Source organism: Homo sapiens, chromosome X, assembly GCF_000001405.40.
Source record: "Homo sapiens chromosome X, GRCh38.p14 Primary Assembly".
NCBI classification, from domain to species: Eukaryota; Metazoa; Chordata; class Mammalia; order Primates; family Hominidae; genus Homo; species Homo sapiens.
Window position 1 is genome coordinate 96526060 of NC_000023.11, and position 18753 is coordinate 96544812.

At 38.1% G+C, this 18753-nt stretch overlaps 1 long non-coding RNA gene across 1 annotated transcript in view; it reads right to left on the reverse strand.

Moving 5' to 3' along the window:
* LOC107985714 (uncharacterized) overlaps positions 1-16280 on the reverse strand; it is a 114069-nt gene extending 97789 nt beyond the window's left edge. Inside the window, exon 1 of the long non-coding RNA XR_001755917.2 lies at positions 16222-16280. This is a non-coding gene — a long non-coding RNA (uncharacterized LOC107985714). The remainder of the gene's footprint in view (positions 1-16221) is intronic.
* Positions 16281-18753: the final 2473 nt, after the last annotated feature.

The window sequence follows — 18753 nt, forward strand, 5'->3', positions numbered from 1 at the left end:
AAAGACTAATTATATGTATATATACACCATACACACACGTATATAGTTTAACCAGTATATTTGTATGTGTGTGTATATACATATTTGTGTATATACATATGCATACACATATATGTGTGTATGTGTGTATATATACATATATATATAAACATATACATGCACACACATAATTTAACCAGAGTCCCACATTGGGAAATCTAGCCTAAGAAATAAAAATGACCAGTACGTATGTTGTAGGAGAAACAGTCATCCATGGTTTTCTCGGAATCCTACATATCTTGCTGAGTATGCTAAGAACATAAAAGCCTGATTGCTCTTTACTTGGTCCATTCCTCAGGTTATGTTTGCAGTGAGCAACCTTCAGGAATGAGTACAAAAGCAGGCTTACTTACTGTCTGCTACAAAAATGGTCGATTTTCTAAGCTTAGTGCTCCTCAGGTGTACCACAAACACACTGCCTATAAAGCATCAATCAGGGCCATATCATCTCCCCTGCGGGACTGAGGAACAACGGGAACTGATGTGAATATACTTGTGCTCATACTGCTTGCAGTGCTGTATGTAATAATACCTTTTGTCTTTAACCCAGAAGTATTTTGCCTTCTATAGCATCTATGAAACCATGGCAGTCGAACTGGTTAGCTTAGAATTAGGGTAAAATCAAATCCCAGACCTTTATAGTAAGAACATACACAAATTGTTGCTTTGCATTATTAACTTAATGGTAAACCAAATAATTAAAAGAAAATATCAATTTCCATTAACAAGAAAATAATTCAACAAAATGGTGCATCAACATCATGTAATATTATACCACCATCGAAAAAGAATGTGCTTGGCCAGGCGCAGTGGTTCACACCTGTAATCCCAGCATTTTGGGAGGCAGAGGTGGGCAGATCACGAGGTCAGGAGATCGAGACCACCCTGGCTAACACGGTAAAACCCTGTCTCTACTAAAAATACAAAAAAATCAGCTGGGCATAGTGGCGGGCGCCTGTAGTCTCAGCTACTCGGGAGGCCGAGGCAGAAGAATGGCGTGAACCTGGGAGGCGGAGCTTGCAGTGAGCCGAGATTGCGCCACTGCACTCCAGCCTGGGCGACAGAGCAAGACTCCGTCTCAAAAAAAAAAAGAAAAAAAAAAAAAAAGAATGTGCTCTACTATTCACAATAGCAAAGACTTGGAACCAACCCAAATATCCAACAACGATAGACTGGATTAAGAAAATGTGGCACATATACACCATGGAATACTATGCAGCCATAAAAAAGGATGAGTTCATGTCCTTTGTAGGGACATGGATGAAGCTGGAAACCATCATTCTCAGCAAACTAGCGCAAGGACAAAAAACCAAACACCGCATGTTCTCACTCACAGGTGGGAATTGAACAATGAGAACACATGGACACAGGAAGGGGAACATCACATTCCCGGGACTGTTGTGGGGTGGGGGGAGGGGGGAGGGATAGCATTAGGAGATATACCTAATGTTAAATGACAAGTTAAGGGGTGCAGCACACCAACATGGCACATGTATACATATGTAACAAACCTGCACATTGTGCACATGTACCCTAAAACTTAAAGTGTAATAATAATAAAATTTAAAAAAAAAGAATGTGTTCTATGTATATGCATTACCTTACAGAGAGGTGTGTGTGTGTGTGTGTGTGTGTGTCTGTGTGCACACGCACGTATTTGAATAAGCATAGAGAAAGGTGTGACAGAAAACATTACTTTAAGAAATGCATTGGAAAAATTTTGCATATAGATATATGATATAGATTGATATAGATATAGATTGATACAGATTGATATAGATTGATATAGATATAGATATATAGATATAGATATAGATAGATACAGATATTGATATAGATTGGCTTTTAAAGTAAGTATTTGTTATTTTTCAATTTAAAATGTAATGAACCACTAAACATCTATTAGAATTAGGAAATGAGTTCAGAAAGGTTGCAGGATACAAGATCAACATACAAAAATTAATTTTATTTGCATATACTTGCAGTGAACAATCCAAAATGATAGTAAGAAAACAATTCCATTTACAATTGCATAAAAAAATACTTAGGAATAAATTTAACAAGATAGGTGCAAAACATACACTGAAAACTAAAAAATAATGTTGAAAGAAGTTAAAGAAGATCCAAATAAATGGAAAGATATCATATTTATATGATCAGAAGACTTAGTATAATAGAGATCTCAATATTCCCTAAATTGATCTATAGATTCCATTCAATCCCTATCAGAATCTCATCTGGCTTTTTTTGCAGAAATTGACAAGCTGATACTAAAATTCATATAGAAATTCAAAGGACCCATAATAACATGAACAATCTTTAAAAAAGAACAAAGTTTGAAGACTCACACTTTTCAGTTCCAAGCTTACTACAAAGCAATACTAATCAAGACAGTGTGGTAGTGGCATAAGGGTAGACATATATAGATCAATGAAATAGAATTGAGAGTTCAGGGAAAAAAACATATATCCATGGTCAATTGATTTTTGACAAGGGTATCAGATCATTCAATAAGGAAAGAATAGTCTCTTCAACAAATGGTGCTGGAACAACTTAATAGCCAAATGCATAAAGAATGAAGTTGAACCTCCTACATCACACCATATAAAAAACAAGTCAAAACGGATCAATTATGTAAACATAAGTGCTATAACCATAACACTCTTACAAGAAAACATAGGGATAAATCTTGATAACCTTGGATTTGGAAATGGATTCTTAGATATACTATCAAAAGCACAGACAACAAAACAAAAATATATAAATCGAACTTCATAAAAATTAAACACTTGTGCTTCGAAGTATACTATTAAGAAAGTGGAAACACAACCCACAGAATGGAAGAAAGTGCCAATCATATATCTGAAAGAGACTTGTATCTAGAACATATACATAACATTTACAACTCAATAATAAAAATGATAAATAACCCAAATAAAAAATGGACAAAGGATCTGAATAGACACTTCTTCAAAGAAGATATACAAATATCCAATCAACACATGAATACATGCTTGACATTATTAGCCATCAAGATAATACAAATCAAAATCCCAATGAGACACTTCTTACACCCACTAGGATGTCTATAATTGAAAAGCCAGACCAAAAAAAAAGTGTTGGAGAGGATGTGGAGAAATTGAAACCATCATATGCTGCTGGTGGAAATGGAAACTGGTGCAGTCACTTTGGAAAACAGTCCAGAAGTTTTTCAAAAATTTAAATATAGTGTTATCTTTTGATTCCCTAATTCTACTTTAAGGAATATACTCAAAAGAAATGAAAACATATCCCCACACAAAAACTTATAAATGAATATTTATAGCAGCATTATCCATAGTAGCCTAAAAGGTAGAAACGACTAAAATGTCCACCAACTGAGGAATGATTAAACAAAATGTTACACCCATACAATGAAATATTATTCAGCTATATAAAGGAATGAATTTCTTATTTGTGCTAGAACATGTATGAACCTTGAAAACATTGTGCTAACTCAGCAAAAGAAACTGCCATCAGAGTGAACAGACAACCCACAGAATGGAAGAAAATGTTTGCAATCTATCCATCTGACAAAGGGCTAATATCCAGAATCTACAAAGAACTTGAACAAATTTACAAACAACCCCATCAAAAAGCGGGCAAAGGATATGAACAGTCACTTCTCAAAAGAAGACATTTATGCAGCCAACAAACATATGAAAAAATGCTCATCATCACTGGCCATCAGAGAAATGCAAATCAAAACCACAATGAGACACCATCTCACACCAGTTAGAATGGCGATCATTAGAAAGTCAGGAAACAACACGTGCTGCAGACGTTGTGGGGAAATAGGAACCCTGTTACACTGTTGGTGGGAGTGTAAATTAGTTCAATCATTGTGGAAGACAGTGTGGTGATTCCTCAAGGATCTAAAACTAGAAATACCATTAGACTCAGTGATCCCATTACTGGGTATATAACCAAAGGATTATAAATCATGCTACTATAAAGACACATGCACACATATGTTTATTGTGGCACTATTCACAATAGCAAAGACTTGGAACCAGCCCCAGTGTCCATCAATGATAGACTGGATTAAGAAAATGTGGCACATATATACCATGGAATACTATGCAGCCATACAAAAGGATGAGTTCATGTCCTTTGTAGGGATGTGGATGAAGCTGGAAACCATCATTCTGAGCAAACTATCACAAGGACAGAAAACTAAACACCACATATTCTCACTCATAGGTGGGAAATGAACAATGAGAACACTTGGACACAAGGCAGGGAACATCACACACTGGGGCCTGTTGTAGGGTGGGGGGATGGGGGAGGGATAGCATTAGGAGAAATACCTAATGTAAATGACGAGTTAATGGGTGCAGCAAACCAACATGGCACATGTATACATATGTAACAAATCTGCACATTGGCACATGTACCCTAGAACTTAAAGTATAATATTAAAAAAAAGAAAATATTGTGCTAACTGAAAGAAAGCTGACACAAATTCCACATTTTATGATTCCATTTATGTAACGTGTCCAGAATAGGGAACTCTAAAGAAATAGAAAATGGAATATTGGCTGCCTATGGCTGGAAGGAAATGGGGAGGTGGGAGTTTATGAGTCATAGCTAAAGGGTATAGGATTTCTATTTGAGGTGATGAAATGTTCTAAAATTGATTGCGGTGATGGTTGCAGAACTCTGTAAGTATAGTATAAACCATTGAATGGAACGCTTTAAATGGGTGAATTGTGTGATATCTGAATTATATCTCAATAAAACTGTTACCAAAATATATATAGTGAAGGGGAAATATGTTTCCTTCCAGCATTTTCTACTTTCTTCACAATATGAGAAAGGTACAGAAATCCCTGATCCTTAAAATATTTTTTAAAAAAGAAAAAAGGAAGGAAGGAAGAGGAAAAATCACCTCTGCTGACTCCATATAGGCCTGTAAGTGAGCAGAAATCCAAATCAGGCTGTTTCCTATTTTCTATGTGGCAGTGAATAATCTGATCATACAATATATCAGATTTGAATGCCTTGTATTTTTTAATACTTTGCTGCTTATCTCCCACCTGAAATAGCATCTAACATCTGACTCCCCTATCAGTATGCTTGGCAAGTAGCTCACCCTTTGGATAAAAAAAAAAAAAAAAAAAAAAAAAGAATTCCCTTTATTTAAAAAAATAAAAAAAGAGAGTCAGTGGGAAGATGGAAAGAAAGCCACTTGGCTTTGTCTTTTTTTTTTTTTTTTGGCAAATATATATTAGCAAAATGAGGTTCCTTCAATTCTAGCACAGGTTCCAAAGAGAGCAGACTAGTGGTTTATCCACAGAAAAATAAAAACTTAATATTATGAAATATGCATGTTAATGAAAAAAAGAAAAACTAACATATATAGAATCTTCCCTTACCCACCAAAAAACATAGTTTATCAGAGTTTGTTTATCAGAAAATTCTTGAAGGTCACTAGTATAATAAAAGCAAAATAACAGAAACATTTATGTACATAGAACTTGAAAGCAATACTGTGATAATAGTTCACACATTCCCTGACAGCCTTCACATAGCCCTCTAATTTTTCAATAATAAATTCAAAAATTTCCCTTCCTTTGAAGTTTCTCCTTCTAAACAAAAGAGAGGAGAAATTTCATACCCAGAAGTTGCCACCTAATCTGTTGCAAAGTCAAGTACAGATAAATAAATAGCTGGTAAATCCTTGGCCTGATAAATAAAATCAGCTCTGTTTGAAAGCTGAGCACAGACTAAGTGTTCAACTTCTGAATATAGTTTAAAATATTCCCATTCATCGAAAGAAAAGTTTAACTTCTATATAATACAGAATGCCAGGATTAAACAAAAGAATATGGTTAATGGGAGAATTTTAAATAGGGCAAATGAATTTAGAGGAGATGAAAATTCAGCCCTGACAACAAGACCCTGATGAGCTTCAAAATAATCCAGACCCTCTCAAACTAGTAACCCTTAGCGCTGAGGTAGAAAGATGCAATGTGCCGATGATGCCATAAAATAGACATCTTCCTGGAGCCTCAATTGTACTTAAAGATTTGGGGGAAAGCATTACTTTTATACAAATGTATCTATACTTGGAGTACCACACAAACATTTACATGTAATTTTAAAGATAAAACAATATGTGTTTACACAGAGAAATTCTAATTTAATTACCGAGAAAGTCTAGACTGGTCACTTTGGACTATGCTCGAGAGTCATGCAAAGCGCTGGTGTGATAGGCAGCTTCTAAGATGGCCTCCAGTGATCTCCACCTCTTAGTATGCACAGACTAGTGTAATTCTGTAACTGAATGCAAAGCCAGCTGATCACTGTTCGGAAGTCAAAACGTGAGAAGCGAGATGTGGTGAAAGAAAAGTACCTTTATTTATCAAATTCTAGCAGTTGGGACATGGCCAGGCTCAAGCCTCAAAGAAACCATCTCCAAGTTTTCAGCTAAGGGCAGGGTTTTAAGAAGGGAAACTTGGTATGGAAGGCATGCAGGAGTTGTGCAGAGTTCAGGGTCTGTGTGTCTTGTTCCAATGGCTATTGTGAGTTATTGTCTACCTGGAGTGCTGGTTGACCCCATCTAAGTTGTGACTGGGCTGTAGATTTTCCATCTTGAGGTAATCTCTAAATGGAAGAGAATTCTGCAGCTGTGTCTCCACGCCTGGTTTGTTTTAAAATTAGCCCCTGGAATTTCTCAACAAACATACAGTTAGATAAGAGTGTCTCCTGGGAAAGGAAAGGAGACAGAGTTTCAAAGTACATTTTAAGGCTATATTCTAAGACTAAGGGCGAATAAAAGGTTTCTCCAGTTTGTTTCAAGGTTACATTTTAAGACTAAAGAGAAGGATTCCCGGGCAAGATGGCCGAACAAGAACAGCTCCAGTCTGCATCTCCCAGTGAGACCAACGCAGAAGGCAGGTGATTTCTGCATTTCCAACTGAGGTACCCGGTTCATCTCACTGGGACTGGTTAGACAGGGTGCAGCCCACAGAGGGCGAAGCGAAGCAGGGTGGGGTGTCGCCTTACCCAGGAAGGACAAGGGATTGGGGAACTCCCTCCCCTAGCCAAGGGAAGCCATGAGGAACTGTGCCGTGAGGAACTGTGCTATCTGGCCCAGATACTACGCTTTTCCCATGGTCTTCACAACCCACAGACCAGGAGATTCCCTCGGGTGCCTACACCACCAGAGCCCTGGTTTCAAGCACAAAACTGAGTGGCCATTTAGGCAGACACTGAGCTAGCTGCAGGAGTTTTTTCATGCCCCAGTGGCACCTGGAATGCCAGCGAGACAGAACCGTTCACTCCCTTGGAAAGGGGGCTGAAGCCAGGGAGCCAAGTGGTCTTGCTCAGCAGATCCCACCCCCATGGAGCCCAACAAGCTAAGCTCCACTGTCTTGAAATTCTCCCTGCGAGCACAGCAGTCTGAAGTTGACCTGGGACACTCCAGCTTGGTGGGGGGAGGGGTGTCTGCCATTACTGAGGCTTGAGTAGGTGGTTTTCCCCTCACAGTGTAAACAAAGCCACCTGGAAGTTTGGACTGGGCCTTAAGTTTTTGGTACCAGGGTTGGATAAACTACTGAATTCTGATTCTTCTTAATCTTTAGTTAGCCCTTAAAGTCAAAAGAAAGAAATTTTGAGCTTTTTTCTCAGTAAGAATTATGCTGACATCAACAGATGAATGGATAAAGAAAATGTGGTACATACACATAATGGAATACTATTCAGCCTTTAAAAACAAGGAAATCCTGCCATTTGCAACAACACAGATGAATCTGGAGGGCATTAAGTGAAACAAACCCAGACACAGAAAGACAAATACTGCCTGATCTCACTTATATGTGGAATCTAAAATAGTTGAACTCATTGAAGTAGAGTTGAACTCATTGAATTAGAGTAGAATGGTGATTACCAGGGACTGGGGCGGAGGGCATGATGGGGAGATGTTGGTTAAAGAACAAAAAGTTTCAGGCTGGGTGTGGTGGCTCAGGCCTGTAATCCCAGCACTTTGGGAGGCCACAGCAGGCAAATTACTTGAGGTCAGGAGTTTGAGACCAGCCTGGCCAACATAGTGAAACCCTGTCTCCACTAAAAATACAAAAAAAATTAACCAGGCATGGTGGCAGGTGCCTGTAATCCCAACTACTAGGGAGGCTGAGGCAGGAGAATTGGTTGAACCTGGGAGGCAGAGGTTGCAGTGAGCTGAAATCATGCCATTGCACTCCAGCCTGGGCAATAGAGAGAGACTCCATCAAACACACACACACACACACACACACACGCACACACACACACAAAGTGTCAGTTGGAAAAGAGAAATAAGTTCTGGAGATCTATTATACAGCATGATGATTATAGTTAATAATAATGTGCTGTATGCTTGAAAATTACCAAGACAGTAGATTTCAAATGCTCTCACCACAAAAAAAAAAAAAAATGGTATGTGAAACAATGGATATATTAATCAGCTTGACTTAATCATTCTGCTGTGAATACACAATCAAAATATCACATTGTACCTCATAAATATATACCAAAAAAATTAAGAATATTTTAAAAATAGTAATGCTGTGTCCAAATTATTATAAACTCTAAGTTACAAATAACATTTTATTGGCAGATATGCTCTGTAAGTTGCACAAACTGATTTTGTTAAGTTTCATCTGCTTCTTTTCTTTCTTTCAGTCTATCAATGTGAGGAAGATGAGTGGGAGCACCTTAACACAGACACTTTGAATTTGAGCAGCAGCAAAAGGGCAAGCAGGGTATGTAGTACAGGTCTGGTATGCCTGATATGGTTCCTTTCACAGAAGAGTGACCAGTGTAGGTTTAACAAGCCCTTTGACTCTAGCTAGAGTTCTGGAACACAGGGCAATGCATTGTAACTCACTGATGTATCCAGATACATAAACTATGTAATTTGCTCTATGTATCAGTCCCCTTTACACAATCCTTTACAAGCCCATCCCTGGTGGAAACAGAATGATAACACAAGTTTGGTACTCTTTGCTTTTTTTTGTTTTTTGAGATGGAGTTTCGCTCTTGTTGCCCAGGCTGGAGTGCAATGGCGCGATCTTGGCTCACCGCAACCTCCGCCTCCCGAGTTCGAGAGATTCTCCTGCCTCAGCCTCCTGAGTAGCTGGGATTGCAGGCATGCACCACCATGCCCAGCTGATTTTTGTATTTTTAGTAGAGACGGGGTTTCTCCATGTTGGTCAGGCTCGTCTTGAACTCCCAACCTCAGATGATCTGCCCACCTCAGCCTCCAAAGTTCTGGGATTACAGGCATGAGCCACCGCACCCGGCCTAGTACTCTTACTCAGCATTGCTAGTTCAGCCTCTTCCTCATTTTGACAAGCATTCAACTTAAGGGAGTGATTTTTCCATTATTAAGAATTATATATAAACTGATTTTTTTTGTAGTGCAGATAATCTTAGTGAATTATGCATGGGTCTGCCAAGAAAGTTATAATTCTGTCATCCCAAATACATTGTTCAACCAGGAGACCTGGACTGATTTAAAAGTATGGCGTGATTGTAAACCACCCTGGGATCCTTCGGGATGAAACACAATGTATAATAACGTTATATCATATGAGAACAGGTAGGAACAAGAATGACAGAACATAGGTGTTAATCATTTAATATTATTTCTAAATTATTCAAAGTGATTCCCAAGACAAATGTTAACTTCATTTTGACATCAAATCCATGTACACTTGACAGTGAGAAAGCATGCTGCTGCTTTATATTTTCCCTGCCTTTTTTCTTCAGATTCATAAGTCAATAATAAGTTGGCTTGCTTCTTTACAAAAGACAGAGCTACATCAGTAGATACCATCCATCAAATAAAATTTAGATTGTACCCTAGGGAAACTGATTTTCCCTAGATACCCTTAAAATCCCCACAGTGGTCAATACACTGTTCTACTCTCTCCGTCTTTCACATGGACAGAAATTGCTTTCTTTCTTGAGTTCAGCAGAGATTTGGCTTTTTCTAAGGCAGCCCTCTGGGACATTCTGAAAGCTTTCAGAAAGATTGTATCACTTATTTGTCTGCCACAAAGAAATGCAAGCAAAAAGCCAAGTGTAAGTAACAGCTAGACATTACATGGCAAGCCCTACTCCCTCTATGCTCAGGTCAGAGCTTGGCTGTTTAGTTCTCAATCACAGAATAAGTCATTGTTACTCTTTGGTAGAAGAAAGCAAACTGAGGAAAAGAGAAGTAACCCTTTTAGGGAAAAAGAAAGATCAGTAAAACTCAATAGTTGGCCTTCATCAGTTGGAGTGCAGGCTTCTATCTTCCCTTTCAAGAATATGTATGGAAGTGCTCGCCTTTTCCTTCAATCAAATCAATGAAAATTTTCTTCATGTGCTAATGAGAATTTTGAAGACATTTCTGAATGAATTTTGACATCATCTTTATGATTAAAGGAAATATGTTTAAATGGAAGTTTGGAAGATTGCAGCAAAACATCATCAAAACAAAACTTAGCATTTCAGCTCAGGAGGCATCTCATATTTGTGTGTTAAAGGTTGTATTTTGAAAGTCCTATTTATTATAAAAACTACCAACTACTGTGAAAAGGTTTATTTCAAAGACTCAGTGAGGCTTCAAAGAACATAGCACCCAGCATAACATAGGCAGTCAATCTACTGAATGACTCAATGAATTAAGGACTTAAGATTTTAGTGTTTCAAAAATTCGCTAAATGGTACTTTGCTTCAAACATTTGTATAAATCTGTATCTCTCTGCAAACTAATATACACTGATGGCATGTCTGTAGAATTGAATTATATATGAACTGTATATAATTCTACTTTCTCTTCGGCTGGCTATATTTCTAGGAAAGCTCCATTTCTTTCTCCATTTATCTTCCTTTTCAAAGACCACTTCTCATGCTCTTCTTCCTTAAGGTTTTACAGGTTATATAGACTGATGTCTCTATATGTATATGTTTCCTGCTATACTAGGAACTTTTTAAGAAAAAGAGAAATTTTATTTGGCTTTCTATTCTGTTCTAGCATGGCACCCTACAGCTAACTTTATCATTCGGTATGCTAATTGCCCATTTGCTTAGAGAGGTACAGCACTCTCATGATAAGATTTGAACCTTTAGATTTAGCCATTCCAGAACATCTTCATCATGTAAGTCAATAAACAAGTTTGAATTGGTTTTTGTCCCTTGAAACCCAAAGACCGCTCATAAAATTGATACTGGGCTGGGAGCGACAGCTCACACCTGTAATCCCAGCACTTTGGGAGGCTGAGGTGGGAGGATTGCTTGAGCTCAGGAGTTCAAGTCCAGCCTGGACAACATGGCCAAACCCCATCTCTACAAAAAATACAAAAATTAGCCAGACATAGTGGTGTGTGCCTGTAGTCCCAGCTACTTGGGACACTGAGGTAGGAGGATCACCTGAGCCCAGGGAGGTCAAGGCTTTAGTGAACCGTGATTGTGCCACTGCACTCCAGCCTGGGCAGCAGAGTGACACCCTATCGCAAAAAAATTGATATTGATATCTAGAAGAGTGGTACTGAAAAGTAACATATCACAAAAGTGGAACTGGTCGATTGTGATTAGAATGCAGGACATTAAAGATTCTCTTGTCTCCAGCTGGAAAATAGGCAAGCTCTATTTTGCAGTAGCTTATTAAACTGTTCCTATTGTATCCTAGGATTCAGACTTTGGGTACTTGATATAAATACTTCAGGTTATTGAATTTCATTGATTACTGCTTTTGATCTTGAATAAGTGCCTATCAGGAAGATAAAAGCTGTGGCCCAAGCTTATGTGTCTGAAAGTACATAAGGAGACACCTTCTGCTTATGGCCAGCAATACAAAATGACTGACAGATAACCATGAATCTTACCAGGTTGGAAGTGCTGTATACTCTGCTCCAAGCTAAACTTAATGTGAGTAAAGTTTACAAAACAGGATATATCACAAGAGATAAGACTGGTACTAATCCCCTAGCTCCTTACCTATGACTTTATCCTGTGCATTTCCTGTGTGACAAAGAGCACAACTACCTGCATTTTAAAGAACAGTTCATTGGGATTCTGCCACGGGCAAGAGACAGATGAACTTTATCTCCACCACACCCTAACCTACTATTACTTGTATTATCCCAAGAATGAGCAAGACAGATGCCATTTAACTAAGCGTTGAGTCAATGGTCAAAGCCCTAGGTCTGTTGCCTAAAGACAGAAACTCTGAGGCACAGATTCAAGGGCCATTGAAACAGCCAAGCATAAAAGAGTCCTTGGAGAATCTCCAACCGGCCTGCGCACTGGAAGAACAGGGTGGAGCCAGGAAAGTTCGCACCATTTGCAGGGGGGAGGAGCCTGGCCTTTCCTGTTCCTGTGTGGTGACCTGGAATTTAATCGATGAGGTGGAGAGCCTGTTAGCAGGACTTCATCTCACTTTGCTGTGTTGTTTTTCCTTTTTCCTTTTTGCCCAATAAATTCTGTTACCCCTCACCCTTCAAAGTGCCTGCGAGCCTAATCTTTCCTGGTCGTGTGACAAGAACCGGTTTTTCCTACAACACCATGACTCACGGAGATATGTGTCTTTGGTTACCAGCCCGTAACGCTGACCAGATGCAAATTGGTAAAAAGCCGATTAAGGTTTTAAATGGATTAGATTGATAGTCTGCATGAAAATAAGCCAAAACAGTGGAACACAGTGCCAAGAGACAGACATTCTACTGACATTGGTAGAACCCCTAAATTTCCCTGTTAAATGAACCAACGTTTTCGTTTTTGTTAAAGTCCATTTGATGTGGGTTCCCATCACTTGTAACCAAGAGTCCTGACTAACACAAGGTTGAAGGGAATAGGAAGGAAATTAAACTATATTGAAAACTTATTATTTGTCAGAAACTGGGTAAAGTGATTTCCTGTATTCCTATCTAATGTTCACAATAACCCTGTGAGGTACGTAGTATCTTCCCTCATTTTGTTTAAAGGAAATTGAAGTTCACAACATAAGTACACAATAAGTGCCTATGGCCACATCGTTAGTAAGTGGTGGATTCAGGATTCAACCAAGTCTGTTTGATGCTAAACCCATACAGTACTATTTCTACTATACCACACTTCTCCTCCATAAAATGGAGATAATAACAGTGCTTGCCTTACAGGATTATTGTAAATGCTTAGAATATTGTTTGGCACATAGTAAATTCTGAAGCAACAAAATGCAAAAGGATAAAATAAATAAATAGGCAAACAGTGGATCCTTGACATGAGAATTTAATATCATCTATGAATGACAAGCTGTTTGAACCTGGAAAATTCTGTGATGTCTAATGGCCTCCATTATTTAAAATCTGTAATCAGAAGATGATTATATTCACTCTCCAGCTTAAAAAAGATTAATTATAATTGCTGTAAATTTTTAAAATATAAAAGCCACCTATAGTCAAAGCAGATTTAGTTGCCCTGTTTTTCAGGAAGGCAAAAGCTGTTTATTGTATTAGAAAACACTATTTGGACAGCATAGTTCTTTTAGGGTTTCAAGCTGGGAATTTTTAGCATCCACATTATAAATATTTCTCACTACATAATACTACATACATGGCTCAAACTTACTGATATCTTAACTAGAATCTGCCTGAAAATTTAGGCAACAGCAACTTGCTTTATGCAGAGTTTCAAGCTATAAAATAAATTATTCATAATGAGTTAATTATTATCTCAGTGTGCCATCATTTCTATTTTTTAAATGATATTCAAAAGATTAAATACCCAGGAATTTAATCATAATTTGCATACACTAGTTTTAAAAATAAGTAACAGCCTCTAATTCAATGCAAAATTACAAAATTTTCCAGATGAAAGATAACCTTGACACTGTAACCCAAATAGAGAATTTCCCTATAAAAAAAGCTAATGACCAACCTCAATTGCTTGAGGCCTTTTTACAGTTTATTTCAATACATTGCCTCATATTATGCTTTCCTATGAAAAGTGGCAAAAACTATACCTGTAATTTTGTTTGGGCCTGCGATTTTCATTCAGCACATGGAGGATTGGGCTTAAATAATTCTCTGAATTCATGCCTCCACTTTCTTTTCTCTTGAATATATAGGTACTTCTTTATCACAAAACAATGACTGAATGCAGTGTCCCCTCCAAATTACTTAGACTTGCATGGAGTAGAAACTGCCAGGTCATTGCAGCAGTTATTATTTCCTCTCTGAAACCACTGTGAAACAGAATGACTGAACAGGAAAAACTCAGGCATCTCTGTGTCCTCCAGTCTCCAAAGCAAGTGTTTGTGATAACTAATTCTCTACACGTAAAGAGAAGAAGCAAGGTCTAAGTCTTATCAAATACAAAACACAGCATTGTTTCAACTTTGAAAGTAAATAATATCTTGAAGTAAAAACTTTATGACTTCTCATATTTACCTTACTAACAGATTATAGTTTGCTCTAGTACTTCTTCCTGCTCAGAAAAAAAAATAACTGAAACATATGGAGAAATTATACAGAATTAAATCATTTTATTTTGCAAGTATATGTATTCCTTTGAACATGTTACAGATCAGAGTTAATCCTGGTTCTCATAATTTACCACTTAATCTTAGAAATGTATTTAACCAAAACTTACTACAAATTCAAAATATTAGTGTCTGACAACTCTATTTAACATTTTCACATTAACATTCTATACTTTATTACAGCATCGACACAATATTCCATACTGCTTCTTCAAAAACAAAACATATTTGCTATGATTCTAACCAAATAGTGCCTAGACATCAAAAGAAAAGCTTTTCCTAGTTTTTCCTCCTTTAAAAATACTCATAGAATTTACTGGAGAGGAAAGGAAGAAGCCTAGATCAAAGTTTAATTTTTTAACGCCACATGTTCCCATTTTGTGACATAGAGACAATAAATAAGATCTGCATCCTGTGATCAATAGAAATTTAGAGGTTTGGGTTTTACTATTTTTCCCCTGCTTGCCTTTAAAAAATTAATAGAGCTTGCCAATGACTTTATTACAAAAAGCGCTTCAAGGTGAGCACAATAGAATTCTACTTTCCTGGTACACAGTGATGGCATGTTTTTTGTAAGTAAAAGATGACATTGAATTAAAGAACTTATTCCTTTAGAGGAACTCAATTATAGTCTTCTCTGGTATTTTCCAGAATCAAATTCAATGCTACATCTTGAGTTAGATTCTCACATGTTCCCTTGGCACAGATGTAAAGAAATGTTTCTCTGCCTTCCTCTTTGATTTTCCTCTTCAACTGGGTTAAAATCCAACTCAGGATTTTTGACAGAGACAGCTATATATAATGACAATTGCTAGAATACCCAAATTTGCCAAGTCCTCCAGCCTTCAGGGGCTACTCTTCTATTTAATATCCAATTATAAAATGACGCAAACTCCTATTGATCATACAGTGAGAAGTCTAGCATCTTGCCTAAAATCCAAGGATTCCTGGGGAGCAGGGAGCTAAATGGGTGAAATCTCACTTCAAAATATGTACCCCTGCTGATTTCTCAGTCCTCTTATCACCCAGTGTCTTAAAACTCTGACCATTTATGGGCCGGGTGCAGTGGCTTACGCCTGTAATCCCAGCACTTTGGGAGGCCAAAGTGGGTGGATCACGAGGTCAGGAGTTTGAGACCAGCCTGGCCAATATGGTGAAACCCCATCTCTACTAAAGATACGAAAATTAGCCAAGCGTGGTGGCACGCCTGTAGTCCCAGCTACTCAGGAGGCTGAGGCAGTAGAATCGCTTGAACCCTGGTGGTCGAGGTTACAGTGACCCGAGATCGCGCCACTGCACCCCAGCCTAAGCAACAGAGCAAGACTCTGTCTCAAAAAAAAAAAACCAACTCTGACCACTTATCTCTCTCTACTTTGAAGCCCTTCATGCCCCTGCCTCCATATATAGCACTCTTCCTCCTTGCTGCTCCGAAGTGCCATTAACACATGCAGTGTGGAGGTTAAGGAGGGCATGCTGAATCAAACCAAGCCAAAGTGAGATGAGGCATTTCAAAAATCAAGCAGGGGAAGTGTCAAACCAGCAGCCCAAAAGTGGCAATGAAGATAGAGGTACAACTTAGAAAATACAAAGGAGATGGTTCCTGTCTTCAAGGAATATATATACAATCTATCAAGCATTTCAAAACATACCTGAAGCACAACTGAAGCTCAAGCTGGAGTCTTTGCTATACACTTAATGTCTTTTCAGGATGGTGTTTTTCCTGTGATAAACCCAGTGATCAGAGATCTGTCAAAGTAAATAGGAAGCCAGAGAGTAACCAGGTAGTTAGTGCTGTGTTTCATAACTGGCCAGGTGATTGAAGACCTGTCTTGAGTGAATAACTGGCCAGGAAGTGGCCAGTGAGGGATAATGTTTTCAGAAGGTCTGACTGAACGGGAGCTGTATGGTCCCTTGTTTGGTAGGATGCCCAATATCTGCCAATCATTACACATGGATCAGTAAGAGAGGCTGTTCAGCCAGTTCAGCACACCGGTGTGATAGTATTCTAATTCCTGACCAAACAGAGTCCACTTGCTTTACAGGAACGAAGTGTTACTCTTTCATCTTCCTGATTTTATTCCTTGTTCCTTAGAGTCAAATAAGCACTTGCTAAATGGGTAACATTTTCTGAAATACACACCGAGCTGAGAATTCAAATAACCGCTAGATTCTGACTGTAAATAGAAAAGGTCGTAAAGAAAAGACATCTTAACAATGGACAGTAGAAATATGTAATCAGAGTTCGGAATATAGATGTAGAGATGGACAAGACTTTGTCAAAAAGGAATCTTTCAGGCACCCTTGTAATCTACTTAGATATTTCAGTGTTTGACCTTGAAGCAACTTCTGGCAAGTTGGATGGCATAATTTCCTAGAATATCATAGTGGATAAATCCATTAGCCTGGTGACCCTCACTTGGCATTTTCAAAGAAATTTACAGCCAGTAGTGATAAGGTTGTGAACACTGAAAGCTGCCTGGCTGATGAAAATTCTGTTTGAAAAAAAAAAAAATCTAGCCTGATTTCACATAGGAGTTCCACCAAACACATCCACACACCCTTACTGTTAGAATGTATACCTTCTTAAAATATGCATTAAGCACTAAGGAGATCACAGGCATTTTAAACTCTACTCCACTTTGAAATTATTTTTTCCAACCAATATGTTTTGAGATCTACTATGTGCAAGACATTATGCTAGGTGCATGGAGAATGCAAAGATGAATAAGAGAGACCCTCATTCTTTCTTGTAATAGATAAGACAGGCAAGTAACTACAGCAGAATAAATAACTGCTAAATAGAGATACCGGTACCCTACTGGGAGAGCTCAGAAAAAAAAAGTGATTGATTCTGATCAACAAGGATTAGGGGAACCATAACTGAGGTGACAATTGACTCATAGCAACCAAATTAAGTCACACTCTTTGTAGAATCAACAAGAATCCACATTCTTTAGCTGGATTTAATTCGCAATGGGAAACCTGCCCAGAGATTACCCATCCTACAATGGGAGAAATGTTATTAATGAAACAAAAGAGCTTTCAGCCATGTCATCAAGAATGATACAACCTAAGAGACTATCAGCAAATAACATCTGTTCCCATGGGAATTGCTACATGTTTCAAAAGTATAAAATATTTAAGTTAAGAAGAACGATGTCATGACTCTTAACTGTAGAAAAATAACATTTTGAATACTGCCTAAAGGAGCAGGAGGACATATATATTCTATCATTAGAAAGATGTACCATAGAATAGAACAGGAGTAGTTTGCTTGGCTCAAGCATGACCAAGATGCACTTTTCTCCCAAGACTACCAATTATTATTTTGCAAATCAAGAGTATTTTAGAAACAGTACTTTGTGGGGTTTTTTTGCTGTTGTTCGCTTGCTTTTTGTTTTGTTTTTGGGGGGGTTTTTTGTTTGTTTTGTTTTGTTTTTTGAGATAGACTCTCACTCTGTCACCCAGGCTGGAGTGCAGTGGTGCAGTCTCAGCTCACTGCAACCTCCGCCTCCTGGGTTCAGGTGACTTTCCTGCCTCAGCCTCCCGAGTAGCTGGGATTATAAGCACCCATCACCATACCCGGCTAACTTTTTTTTTGTAATTTTAGTAGAGACGGGATTTCACCATGTTGCCCAGGCTGGTCTCGAACTCCTGACCTCAAGTGATCCACCTGCTTCAGCTTCTCAAAGCACTGGGATTATGGGTGTGAGCCACTGGGCCCGGCCAGAAACAGTACTTTGAATAAGTTCCGTGGTTCTATTTTTAAGGTGAAACATCTCCACTTAATATTATTTCCCAACCTTGAGCTTGTGTTAGCAATATTTTATCATTAGTGACTTGTTTGCTTGCTTTTTGTATGTATCTAAGTAAAGAAAAACAATTACTGAGCATCTACTACACACAAAGCAAGTTCTCTGGATGCAATAAGGATTTGGAAAAAAATGTGCTCCTGTCTTCCAAGAGCTCCCAATTGAGTGGTGGAAACACACATGTAAATACGGTCCATAAAAAGCAGATTGCATGCAAAGATGGAGGCAATCAGATTAATAAAAACAAAAAAAAAAAAAACAGAACAAAAAAAGCAGACTGTAATGAATTGGTGGCTTTATTTTTCTCCTTTCCAGCATAAACCAAATTAAGTTCACATTACATAATTAACTAGTAGCCTTTTGATTACT